The 12,757-nt window shown below is 57.0% G+C and overlaps 1 protein-coding gene, 1 non-coding gene and 1 pseudogene across 2 annotated transcripts in view, besides 2 other annotated features; 2 read left to right on the top strand and 1 right to left on the bottom strand.

The window, feature by feature from the left end:
- The first annotated feature begins 3,877 nt into the window (after positions 1 to 3,877).
- MIR3180-4 (microRNA 3180-4) lies at positions 3,878 to 4,030 on the top strand. Its single transcript, NR_037466.1, has one exon. It is a non-coding gene; the product is annotated as a microRNA 3180-4 (primary transcript).
- PKD1P6 (polycystin 1, transient receptor potential channel interacting pseudogene 6) overlaps positions 4,007 to 12,757 on the top strand; it is a 29,735-nt pseudogene continuing 20,984 nt past the window's right edge.
- PDXDC1 (pyridoxal dependent decarboxylase domain containing 1) overlaps positions 5,662 to 12,757 on the bottom strand; it is a 178,484-nt gene continuing 171,388 nt past the window's right edge. Inside the window, exon 18 of the mRNA XM_024450194.2 lies at positions 5,662 to 6,066. Within this exon, the coding sequence (XP_024305962.1) occupies positions 5,987 to 6,066 (80 nt within the window). The 3' untranslated portion in view covers positions 5,662 to 5,986. The remainder of the gene's footprint in view (positions 6,067 to 12,757) is intronic.
- Positions 8,963 to 9,658: an enhancer, noted in NCBI's record as "H3K4me1 hESC enhancer chr16:15243079-15243774 (GRCh37/hg19 assembly coordinates)". NCBI's record gives its function as "activates a minimal SCP1, AML or CMV promoter by ChIP-STARR-seq in primed H9 embryonic stem cells {active_cell/tissue: H9 hESC(primed)}" and the evidence as "EXISTENCE:reporter gene assay evidence [ECO:0000049][PMID:30033119]".
- Positions 11,675 to 12,648: an enhancer, noted in NCBI's record as "H3K27ac-H3K4me1 hESC enhancer chr16:15240089-15241062 (GRCh37/hg19 assembly coordinates)". NCBI's record gives its function as "activates a minimal SCP1, AML or CMV promoter by ChIP-STARR-seq in primed H9 embryonic stem cells {active_cell/tissue: H9 hESC(primed)}" and the evidence as "EXISTENCE:reporter gene assay evidence [ECO:0000049][PMID:30033119]".

Genomic DNA, 12,757 nt, shown 5'->3' with positions numbered 1-12,757 from the left:
ACAGATCGGAGTGCGAGTTCTGCCCGTTATTGACTGGACCGTGTGACCCTGGGAGAGCCGCCTAGTGTCTATGAGACGGAGGCTGTTGGGCAGGAAAATGGGGATGGTCCCAGCATTATGGGGCGGTTGTGAGAATTCAGTGCAATGATGCAGTGCTCCCAGAACAGCTGGTCTAGGGCTTGGCTCATGGGACTGTCCCTTCGCAGAGGCAGCGTGGACATTCCGCTGGTATCCACTGGTGTGGCTGTGCCTGTTTGGTCACCGTGTCTGTTCTGATTGGTCGGTGCTCCTGCATGTCAAGAGTTCAATGTTATGAAAATCATCCCTGCCTAGAGATGAATTCCCCCTTCCCCTGAGGTCTAGACTGGCATAGCTGCTTTTGGAGCCTCACCTGCTGAGAGCTCACAGCTGTCCTTCTCTAGAGAATCACCCTCAGATGGGAGCCACGTTGCCTGGGATGGGATGCCATGCCCAGTAATGGCCCAGTGACTAACTGATACAGCAACGTGAATGGCTGGTCCCTGCCCCACGGTGGGGACGATCCTGTGGCGTGCTCTCTGCTGCTCGTGGGATAGGTCAAGGCGGGACTTTAAGGGACCACATTCTCACTCTGCTCTGTCCCCTTCTGCATCCTGTAGTCCTCACCTCCCTTCTCCTGAAAGCCCCTTTCAAAACAAAAACAAAAACCACATCCACCCAAGTCCCTGTCTCCACCTCTGCCTCCAGGAAAGCCGGCGGAAGGCCGCCAGTCTCAGCTGTGACAGATACAGATATTTCTGCATTTCCAGGACTGAGGTCAATCCCTGGGGACCCAGTGAGGCGGTATCTGAGGGGCCATGGAGCTGGCTTGATGGGGTCTACAGGTAGGCAGGGACCTGGTGGGGATGTGACTCAAGGATTTTTATCAAATATCTTTATCTCCTGACAGATGCAAAAAAAAAAAAAAATGAGATCAGACTCCAGGGTTTCCTCCATGCCACACTGTGGCCCCATTGTTTGTTGTGCTATCAGCAGAAGTTGACTTTGCAAGGAATGTACACGTGTATGTGATGTTTGAATGCACCTGTGCGTGCGTGCATTTGTGTGTGCATGCGTGCATTCGTGTGTGTGTGTGTGTGTGTGTGTGTGAGAGTGTGTGTGCGCGCTGAGGATGTGAGCCCCACTTCCGGCCCAGTGCCCCTGCCCAGGCTGGCTCTGCCCTCCTGCTGCTCTGGGCCCCTCAGGCAGTGACTACCTGGTACATAGGGAAGGCATCGGCATCCCTTATTCATGGGGACTGTAGACTGTCTCCACCATATTGGGTCTTTTGGCCTCTTGGACATGACTTGGCCTCTGCTGGCTTTAAGGGACTGCCAGAGATGCCATCTGCTCTGGGAAATGTTCTCAGCCTGGGCACAGCCCACTAACCACTGCCTGCTTGTCTGAGACTTCTCTGTCCAGGAAAACAGCCCAGCCTGACCAGAGATGGGCATAGAGCCATATTTTGGGAAAGACTGGTTGGGGGTCAACTTGGTTTCTGGAACCAGTTCTGATTTCAGTTGCAGGGGACAGTGAGCCAGTTACTGCCCACTGGCTGCATCCTAAGCCTTCCTAGAGGAGAGCTAGCCTCCTCCTAGGGTTCCCCAGGCTGGACCACTTCTGCCTGGGTGATGGGTTGGGAGAAAGACGTTAATATTTGGAGCAGTGTTATATTAGTCAGCCCTCCCATTTGCAAACATTAGAAAACCAGCTCAAATTAGTGATAAAAGAAAATCTCAGCTGAATTAAATTTAAAGTAGTTTAATTGAGCAATGAATGATTTGCGAATTGGGCAGACCCCAGAATCACAGCAGATTCATAGAGACTCCAGCGCAGCCACGTGGTGGAAGAAGATTTATGGACAAAAGAAGGGAAATGATGTACAGAAATCAGAAGTGAAGTACAGAATGGCTGGATTGTTACAAGTTGGCGTTTGCCTTATTTGAGTACAGTTTGAACACTCAGCAGCGTATGAGCGGTTGAACTACGGCCTCTGGGATTGGCCAAGACTCAGCTATTGTTACAGACGCATACTCCTAAGTTAGGTTTTCAATCTTGTCTACCTATTAAGCTAGGTTGCAATTTGTCCACAAGGACTCAACTATAGAAGTACGAAGTCCCACTCAGGCCATATTTAGTTCACTTTAACACTAGCTTCGGCAACTGTCTCTCAGAGCCCAGGACAGGGCAGGGATGCAACTGGGCTTCAGGAAACTTGAATTCATTGACTGTCTCTTCCCCATCTTAGATGCAGTGCTAAGGGCTTTTTAGTAATTTTCTCATTTGATTCTCAAAACAAACTGATGAGGAAACGGTCTGAGAGTAGTTAGGCAGCTTTTCAAGGTCACACAGATAGTAAATGTCATCACTGGGACTTGAACTCAGGTCTTTCTGACTCTCATGTCTGTGCAACATGTCATCTCAGCCACTGTTGACACTGTATATGTGGATTAGGGTTGGCTAAACTGCTGTAACAAATAGACCCAACTGGAATGGTGCATGTATGTACAATAGGGGTTTATTTCTTATGATATAGTTCACGGTGGTCCCAGGTGAATAAGGATGGGTAGGTCTGCATTTTTCATAATCATCTGGGTCTCTGCTCAGGCTCCTAGAGTCTCTGCCACCTTCCCCATGTGGCTTCCAAGGCCACCTTGGAGACAGAGCTTGGTGGAGCACATGTGGTAGGATTTTTTTTGTTTTTGAGACGGAGTCTCACTGTATTGCCCAGTCTGGAGTGCAGTGGTGCAATCTCGGCTCACTGCAACCTCTGCCTCCCAGGTTCAAGCTATTCTCCTGTCTCAGCCTCCCTAGTAGCTGGGACTACAGGCACCTGCCACCACGCCTGGCTAATTTTTGTATTTTTAGTAGAAATGGGATTTCACCTTGTTGGTCAGGTTGGTCTCAAACTCCTGACCTCAGGTGATCCACCCACCTCGGCCTCCCAAAGTGCTGGGATTACAGGCATGAGCCACCACTCCCAGCCAGTTCTTTTTTTCTTTTTTCCATTTTTTTTTTTTCGAGACAGGGTCTTACTCTGTTGCCCAGGCTGGAGTGCAGTGGCACAATCACGGCTCAGCGCAGCCACTGCCTCCTGGGCTCACACGCTCCTCCGGCCTCAGCCTCTCGAGTACCTGGGACTACAAGTGTGAGCCAGTTTGGCTAATTTTGGCTAATTTTTGTAGAAACGGGGTCTCGCCATGTTGGCCAGGCTGGTCTCCAACTCCTGGGCTCAAGGGATCCACCTTCCTCCCCCTCTCAAAGTTCTGGGATTACCGGAGTGACCCACTGTGCCCTGCTGGCAAATTTCTTAAACTGTGCCTCAGTGACCTCATTTAATAAAGGGAATAATTGTAGCACACTTTTTCTAGAGCTGTGAAGATTCAATGGAATAAATAAGGCAATAAATGAATGGATGGGGAATGGAGGATGTGGGTTTCCTCCCTCTTGTCTTTCAATAAGCTCTCACCATCAACCTCCCATTGCCTGTTCTCTCTCTTCCCCCTCTCTCCTTCTGTCTCTCTCTTAGCCAGGAAACCTGGGGTAGGGAGGCTTGGAGCCAGCGGGTGCGTCGGGAGGCTGCGGGTACTGACTGGGGACGCGCACGGAGATTGCGGGAGAAGGATCCACGCCGCGGGAGAAGGATCCATGCCGCGGGAGAAGGATCAGGGTGGAGCCTGTGGCTGCTGCAGGAGGAGGAACCCGCCGCCTGGCCCACACCACAGGAGAAGGGCGGAGCCAGATGGCACCCTGCCCACCGCTTCCCGCCCACGCACTTTAGCCTGCAGTGGGGCGGAGCGTGAAAAATACCTCGTGCGCCTCGGCCGACTCTCCAGTGCGACGGGCGGAGCTTCCAGACGCTCCGCCCCACGTCGCATGCGCCCCGGGAACGCGTGGGGCGGAGCTTCCGGAGGCCCCGCTCTGCTGCCGACCCTGTGGAGCGGAGGGTGAAGCCTCCGGATGCCAGTCCCTCATCGCTGGCCTGGTCGCGCTGTGGCGAAGGGGGCGGAGCCTGCACCCGCCCCGCCCCCACCGCGCCCCGTCCGCCCCGCGCGGCGCGGGGAGGAGGAGGAGCCGCGGCGGGGCTCGCACTGCAGCGCCAGCGTCCGAGCGGGCGGCCAAGCTCCCGGAGCGGCCTGGCCCCGAGCCTCGAGCGGGCGTCGCTCAGCAGCAGGTCGCGGCCGCAGCCCCATCCAGCCCCGCGCCCGCCATGCCGTCTGCCGGCCCCGCCTGAGCCGCGGCCTCCGCGCGCGGGCGGGCCTGGGGACGGCGGGGCCATGCGCGCGCTGCCCTAACGATGCCGCCCGCCGCGCCCGCCCGCCTGGCGCTGGCCCTGGGCCTGGGCCTGTGGCTCGGGGCGCTGGCGGGGGGCCCCGGGCGCGGCTGCGGGCCTTGCGAGCCCCCCTGCCTCTGCGGCCTAGCGCCCGGCGCCGCCTGCCGCGTCAACTGCTCGGGCCGCGGGCTGCGGACGCTCGGTCCCGCGCTGCGCATCCCCGCGGACGCCACAGCGCTGTGAGTAGCGGGCCCAGCGGCACCCGGGAGAGGCCGCGGGACGGGCGGGTGTGGGCGCGTTCCCTGGCCCGGGACGGGAAGCAGGACGCGGGCCAGGACGCTCCCAGGGCGAGGCTCCGGCGCGGGCACAGCGGCCCTGCTAAATAAGGAACGCCTGGAGCCGCGGTTGGCACGGCCCGGGGGAGCCGAAAAACCCCGGGTCTGGAGACAGACGTCCCACCCGGGGGCTGTGCAGACGCCAGCGGGGGCGGGGCCCGGAGGCCCGCTCAGCTGGGAGGACAAACAGTCGCTAATTGGAGAGGAATTGGGATGCGGCCTGGGGCTGCGGGGTACCCGGAGAGGTGGGGATGGTTGTAGGGGGCTGCAGGGAAGAGTTCCAGGAGGTGTCTGGACAAGGATTTGATGGATGTGCAAGAATTGGGCTGATGCTTAGGAAGGGGCGATGAGGTGGGTCCAGAAGAAGGGGGGTGAACGGTGTGAGCAAAGACCATGAGGCTGGAGGCTGGCCACGGGAGGTGTGAGGGGTAGGGGCAGGGTGGGAGGTGGGCTCGCGGGTGGGCTGGGGTCATGAAGGGCCTCAGGCGCTCTGCTATTGGGTTCCAAGGCTATCCTGAGAACAGGGGTGAGGGCGGATTGCCGTGGGGGGTTAAAGCCTTGTCATGTTCGCTTTCGGGAGATAAAAACAACAGGTGGCCTTTATGGAGACGCTGCCCAGAGCCAGGTCTGTGCCAGGCTCCTGTTGGGGGTCGTCATGCGGAATCCTGACTCTGACCATCCGAGGCATAGGGACCGTGGAGATTTGCATTTCACAGATGAGGAAACAGGTTTGGAGAGGTGACACGACCTGTCCCAGGCATCACAGCCAGGACAGGACCTGTCCCAGGCATCACAGCCGGGATGTGCATAGCAGGGATTTGGAACTATGAGGTGCCCAGGACCCAGGGTTGGATTGAAAAGGGCGCAGGGGACTAAGATAAGCAGACAGTTGTCCCCAGCGCTGGGGAGAGTCTTGGGACCAGTCTGATGCCTTGTATTTCCCAGGCTCCAGGCTCCTCGCCGGGACAGTGTCTCCTTGGGTGCGTGCTGGATCCCTGGGGGACGTGGCACATCCCCAGGCTTGCTAAACATTGGGTGGGTTCTGGCATTTGGTTTTGTAACGTTTCTGGGTCACTCCCGCCTGTGGCCACCCTTCCTTAGGGGAGCCGTGTGTCCTTGGGGCTTTGCTGGGTGGTCTCGAGGGTGGGAGAAGAATGGGTTCTCCTGGACCAATGGAGCCCGTGCCCCTCGGGGCCACATTGCTCCTGCGCTCCCTGACTGCGGACGCGTGTGTCTCGCGGCTGTCTCTGTGGAGATGGCCTCCTCCTGCCTGGCAACAGCACCCACAGAATTGCATCAGACCTACCCCACCCGTTGTTTGTGATGCTGTAGCTGAGGGCTCCTCTGTCTGCCAGGCCGGTCACTGGGGACTCTGTCCAGGTCCTGGTGGTTCCTGCTTCCCAGCACCTGATGGTGTCCATGAGAGCAGCCCCTCGGGAGCTGTCCGGGAGAGAAGGGCGCTGGTGGCTGCTGAGCGGAGAGCAAGGCCCGTGTTCTCCAGGCCCTTGGCACAGCAGCGGAGCCCCCGCCCCTGCCTTGTGTTGTCCTCTTAGGCTCTGGTCCTGGGGTTTGGAGGAGGGGGACCCTGGGGGTTGGTGGCCTGTCCCAGCCTGAGCTGGCAAGATTCCGAATGCCAGGCCCCTCAAGTGTGCAACAGGGCACAGGGTGACCTCGTGGGCAGGTGGGTGCTGTTCTGTACACACCTGGGGCCGCCGCTGGGAGAGTTCTGGAAGGTGGGGTGAGGGGACCCATGGGAAACTAGGGCCCTAGGAAGGATGTGAAGGCCCTGGCTGGCCCCCCAGGCCACCCTCTGTGCTGTGGGGCAGCCCAGCCATTTTGCTGTCTACCCTGCAAACTCCTCCTCGGGGAGACGGCTGGGTTTTCCCCAGGGAAGAGGGGTCAAGCTGGGAGAGGTGAAGGACACAGATCACAGCTGCTGGCAGGTGTTTAAGGGTCCAGGAGCGTTGCTGTCTGGGTGTCACCAGTAGCCTTCCTGGGGAGCTCACGCAGGTGCCTCTCCACTTGTGGCTCCCTGGCTGCTGAAGCTCAGCAGGGACAGCTGTGTCCAGTTCCAGGTGGAGGACAGCCGGGGCTTCTGAGGCCACAGCCTGCCTTGGGTTAATGATGCTGCCGAGAGGTGGTGGCTTTTGGAAAAGATGGCGTACTGCAAAACGTGCTGCTCTGCGTGGCTCGAAGCTCCGTGGGGAGACGTGGGCAGAGCTGTGGCTGACTCACAGACCCCCCACCCCAGAGCCTGCCCTGCCCTCCCTGCCCCGACCCTTCCCCTCCTGACCCATGTGTTTTTTTTTTTTTTTTTTTTTTTGAGACAGAGTTCACTCTTGTTGCCAAGGCTGGAGTGCAACGGCACGATCTCGGCTCATGGCAACCTCCGCCTCCTGGGTTCAAGCGCTTTTCCTGCCTCAGCCTCCCGAGTAGCTGGGATTACAGGCGTGCACCACCATTCCTGGCTAATTTTCTATTTTTAGTAGAGACAGGGTTTCTCCATATTGGTCAGGCTGGTCTTGAACTCCTGACCTCAGATGATCCGCCCGCCTCGGCCTCCCAAAGTGCTGGGATTACAGGCATGAGCCACCACGCCCAGCCCTGACCCATGTTTTGAACCAAATTCCAGCCACCCTTTTATCTGCAAGCATTTTGGAGGGCATCGCAATACTGCAGACCCACCTAACACAACAGACAATTCCTTCATGCCACCGAAGGCCTGGTGTGTTCACATTTTTGGTTTAATAGTTTGAATTAAGAGCCAAATAAGGTCCACACACTGCAATTAGTTGATGTCTTTTTTTTTTTTTTTTTTTTTTTTTTTTTGAGACGGAGTCTTGCTCTTGTCTCCAGGCCGCAGTGCAGTGGCATGATCTCAGCTCGCCGCAACCTCCGACTCCCTGGTGCAAGCGATTCTCCTGCCTCAGCCTCCCGAGTACCTGGTAGCTGGGTTTACAGGCATGCACCACCGTGCCCAGCTAATTTTTGTATTTTTAGTAGAGACGGGGTTTTACCGTGTTGGCCAGGATGGTCTCGATCTCCTGACCTCGTGATCTGCCCACCTCGGCCTCCCAAAGTGCTGGGATTACAGGCGTGAGCCACCGCACCCGGCCAATGTCTTTTAAAAATATATACTTTTTTTTTTTTTTTTTGAGACAGAGTTTCGCTCTTGTTGCCCAGGCTGGAGTGCAGTGGCGCGATCTCAGCTCACGGCAACCTCCGCCTCCCGGGTTCAAGCGATTCTCCTGCCTCAGCCTCTCCAGTAGCTGGGATTACAGGCGTGTGCCACCATGCCTGGCTAATTTTGTATTTTTAGGAGAGACGGGGTTTCTCCACGTTGGTCAGGCTGGTCTCAAACTCCTGACCTCAAGTGATCCGCCTGCCTTGGCCTCCCAAAGTGTTGGGATTACAGGTGTGAGCCAGCGCGCCCAGACAAAAATGTATATGTGTGTCTTTAAGGCTGGTCAAGCAAAGCAGTGGAACTGGAGAAAGAATGAAGAATTCTACCTGGCTGTGATCAATTCGTTGTGAACACCACTGTGCTTGGACCAGCTAGCTGATGTCTTTTGTTTTGTTTTGTTTGAGACGGAGTCTGGCTCTGTCACCCAGGCTGGAGGACAATGGTGTGATCTCGGCTCACTGCAGCCTCCACCTCCCGGGTTCAAGCGATTCTCCTGCCTCAGCCTCCTGAGTAGCTGGGATTACAGGCGCGCGCCACCACGCCCGGCTAATTTTTAAAAATATTTTTAGTAGAGATGGGGTTTCACCATGTTGGTCAGGCTGGTCTTGAACTCTTGGCCTTAGGTGATCTGCTTGCCTCGGCCTCCCGAAGTGCTGGGATTACAGGTGTGAGTGATGTCTTTTATTTATTTATTTATTTATTTATTTATTTATTTATTTATTGTTATTTGAGATGGAGTCTCACTCTGTTGCCCAGGCTGGAGTGCAGCAGTGCCATCTCGGCTCACTGCAAGCTCCGCCGCCTGGGTTCACGCCATTCTCCTGCCTCAGCCTCCTGAGTAGCCTGGACTGGTGCCCGCCACCATGCCCAGCTAATTTTTTGTATTTTTAGTAGAGACGGGGTTTCACCGTGTTAGCCAGGATGGTCTGGATCTCCTGACCTCGTGATCCACCCGCCTCAGCCTCCCAAAGTGCTGGGATTACAGGCTTGAGCCACCGCCTGTCTTTTAAATGTCCGATGATGTCTAGGAGCTTCCCTTCCTCTCTTTTTCCTTGTGCAATTTGTTGAAGAAACTGGCTCCTGCAGCCTGGATTTCTCGCTGTGTCTTGGGGGTGCCACCTCCATGGTGTCTCCTCCGTGGTGCTGTGAGTGTGTCCTTTGTGTTTCTTGTAAATTGGTCGTTGGAGCCGACATCCCATTGTCCCAGAGGTTGTCCTGGCTGGCAGTGACCTAGGTGTAGATGTCATCAGCTCAGGGCCCCCTGCTCTAAAGGCCACTTCTGGTGCTGGTTGCCACTCACCCTGGCTGGGGGTCACCTGGGTCTGCTGCTGTCTCGCAAATGCTGGGGTCCAGGACTGGGCACATCGAGGGACTTGGTAGGTGCTTGGTTCACTGATGTAAAATATAGGAGCACCCAGGGCCTTGCCCTTTCCCACCTGCATCCCTGAATGACAGGAGAGTGTGGGAGAGTGTAGGGACAGCAGGCGCAGACCCCGGGGCCCCTGCCTGGGATTGGCGTCGGGGAAGACAGTCATTCTGGAGCGACCCCTAGGCCTGATGCCTTAGAGCGCAACTGCCACAGACACAGCTTCCTTGGGGGGCTGGCCAGGCCACGGAGGGGCCCCTGGCTCCCATTTCTGGTCCCTGGATCCTGAGAGCAAGGACTAGGGATTGTCACCAAGGCCTCCATGAGCCCTCAGCAGAAGGAGGGCCACCCTCGAGGGCTCCGTTATCACTGGAGCCCGCGTTCAACAAACACGCAGATGATTCTCCAAGGACAGAGATGGATGATGGGGAGGGGGCTGGCCTGGAAGGACCCCCAGTGCAGGTGACATTGAAGCCAGGTTTCAAAGCTCCCACAGGGAGCTGCCCAGAGAGAGTCCCCAAGGGGCAAGGTGACTCGGGGGCAGGGGTAGGGCCTCAGTCAGGAGAGCCTAGGAGAGGCCCGTGTCTTCTAGGAAGAGCCCTGGCAGCCGAGCGGAGGCAGTGGTGAGGACCTGCATCCTGCATGTGCAGCTGGCCTCACCCGGGGTCCCTGAGCCGGGTCTTACGTGGCTCCCGCACTCGGGCGTTCAGAACGTGCCTGCGTGAGAAACGGTAGTTTCTTTATTAGACACGGATGCAAACTCGCCAAACTTGTGGACAAAAATGTGGACAAGAAGTCACACGCTCACTCCTGTACGCGATTGCCGGCAGGGGTGGGGGAAGGGATGGGGAGGCTTTGGTTGTGTCTGTAGCAGTTGGGAATGTGGGGCACCCGAGCGCCCACTGCAGAGGCGACTGTGGAGACAGAGAGCACCTGCAGGTCATCCATGCAGTATCGGCTTGCATCCAGATCATACAGGGAACACTATGATTCAACAACAGACAGGGACCCCGTTTAAACATGGACAAGGGGTCACTCACGCCTGGAATCCCAGCAGTTTGGGAGGCCAGGGTGGGTGGATCGCTTGAGCCCAGGAGTTTGACACCAGCCTGGGCAACAGGGTGAGACCCCGGTCTCTAAAAAATAAAAGAACATTGGCCGGGCGTGGTGGTGTGCATCTGTGGTCCCAGCTATTCAAGAGACTGAGGTGGGACATCACTTGAGCCGAGGAGGTCAAGGCTGCAGTGAGCTGTGATCACACCACTGCACTCCAGGCTGGGTCACAGAGCAAGACCCTGTCTCAAAAAAAAAAAAAAAAAAAAAAAAAAAAAAATCACAGGATCTGAACAGAGATTTCTCCAAAGAAGATGCACAGATGGCCAACAGCGTGTGAGAAGATGGTCGGCCTCATTAGTCATGAGGGAAACGGAAATCAAAACCACTGTCCAGCCGGGCGCGGTGCCTCACGCCTGTAATCCCAGCACTTTAGGAGAGCAGATGGCTTGAGGCCAGGAGTTTGAGGCCAGCCTGGGCAACATAGCGAGACCAATAAATAGATATTAGTGGTGGCGCCTGTAGTCCCAGCTAGTTGGGAGGCTGAGGGGGGAGGATTCCCTGAGTCTATGAGGTTGAGACTGCAGTTAGCTGTGATGGTGCCACTGCACTCCAGCCTGGGTGACTAGGAAACGGTCTTTAAAAAAAAAACAAAACAAAAAAACAGGGTGGGCGCGGTGGTTCACGCCTGTAATCTCAGCACTTTGGGAGGCCAAGGTGGGGGGATCACAAGGTCAGGAATTTGTGACCAGCCTGACCAACATGGTGAAACCCGTTCTACTAAAAATACAAAAATTAGCGAGGTGTGGTGGTGGGCGCCTGTAATCCCAGCTAATTAGGAGGCTGAGGCAGGAGAATCACTTGAACCCGGGAGGCGGAGGTTGCAGTGAGCCAATATCACACCACTGCACTCTAGCCTGGTCAACAGAGCGAGACTCTGTCTCAAAAAAACAAAAAAATGCTGAGCATGGTGGCGCATGCCTGTAGTCTCAGCTACTTTGGGGGCTGAGGCAGGAGAATCGCTTGAACCTGGGAGGCAGAGGTTGCAGTGAGGCAAGATTGCACCATTGCACTCCAGCCTGGGAGACAGAGTGAAACTCTGTCTCAAAAAGAAAAGGTCTAGGAAGAGTCCGCACCCTCTCCCCGCGGTGGCCACGCCGGGCCCTGCGCTGAGCCCTCTGTGTTCTTGTCTCTCCATAGCTCATCACGGCACTGCAGGGTTGCAGCCACTCCTGGTCTCATTTTACAGACCAGGAAATTGAGGCTCTGAGAAGCCGTGGTGATGATTTCATCAGCATGCTCTGGGGCAGACCCCTGCAGCCGCACAGGGTGCCTGGGGCCCACACTAGTGCCCTGGTTTATAGACAGACAGAGGTGGCAGTGGCGCTTCCGAGTCGGGCTGGGATGTGCTTGCACTCCCCGAGGGGCTGAGGGGCCCTGCACCCAGGTGCAGCTGCTTGGGTGCTGCCAGCCCCTCCCACCTCTCCCTCCCTGCCAGCCCCTCCCACCTCTCCCTCCCTGCCAGCCCCTCCCACCTCTCCCTCCCTGCCAGCCCCTCCCACCTCTCCCTCCCTGGCTCATCCCTGCTGTGTCCCTTCCCTGTAGTTTCCTGTTCAGTTTCAGGAAGGAGGCTGGGAACCCAGATGTAGGGAATTTGCGCCCTGGAGTCAGACTTGGGTTCACGTCCCAGCGCCTCCACTTCTGGTGTGACCTTGGTCCAGTCTCTCAGCCTCAGTTTCCTCACCTGTAAAGTGGGCTCCATGATTAGATGCACCCTGCAGGGCAGTGTAGCAGTGACCTGGCTCAGCCACTGGCAGCCCCAACAATCATACCTTGTTAAAGTAGCTCTGTCGGTTCCCTCAGGGGTTCCGGGGGCCCATTCCCCTGTCCTCCATGCACTGTGAGACCTGCCCTGCCACAGAGCAGAGTGTAACAGCCTGAGGGTGAGAGCCAGACACTGTGCCTGTGCTTAGACCGGACACTGGACGACGGGAGCCAGTGCAGCCTGGGCGGGTGGACTCTTATGGACCCCTCAGCACCCAGCCTCGGTGCCTTCAGCGCAGGGCCGCGTGGCTGTAGGGGCTCACAAGACCCGGCCTACTCCTGCTTGTGCCTACCTCTGGGTGTTTGCCCATTGGTGCCTTTTGACGCGTTCTGGTGTGTGTGAGACGTGCGGGGCTGGGAAGTATTGGCAGAGCCGCGAGTATCGTCCTCACTCCTTTTGTTCTTTTGACGTAAGCTGGCGAGTGGCACTGCCTGAGTTCCGCTCAGTGCCCGCCCTGACGTGCGGACCCTGCTGCATCCTTGCTGTTAGGTGGTGGCGGTGTGCGCTGTCGCTGGTGGGCACCAAGAGCCTTTGGGAGCTTTGGGGAGGTTGTGCCAAGCTTGAGCCTCGACGTCCCCCTTCCCGGCTTTCTGTTGGCTCTTCTGAGGCCAGGGCATCTCTGTGAGGGCCTCCTGCTGGAGCCATCTCTGTGGATCTCCTCTGCCATCCTGGCCCACGTGTGGGTGATGCGCTGGCCACCATC

The sequence above is a fragment of the Homo sapiens genome, chromosome 16 (assembly GCF_000001405.40).
Source record: "Homo sapiens chromosome 16, GRCh38.p14 Primary Assembly".
Classification (NCBI taxonomy): Eukaryota; Metazoa; Chordata; class Mammalia; order Primates; family Hominidae; genus Homo; species Homo sapiens.
Note: the sequence above shows the minus strand (reverse complement) of the source record. Positions and strands in the feature narration are given on the sequence as shown.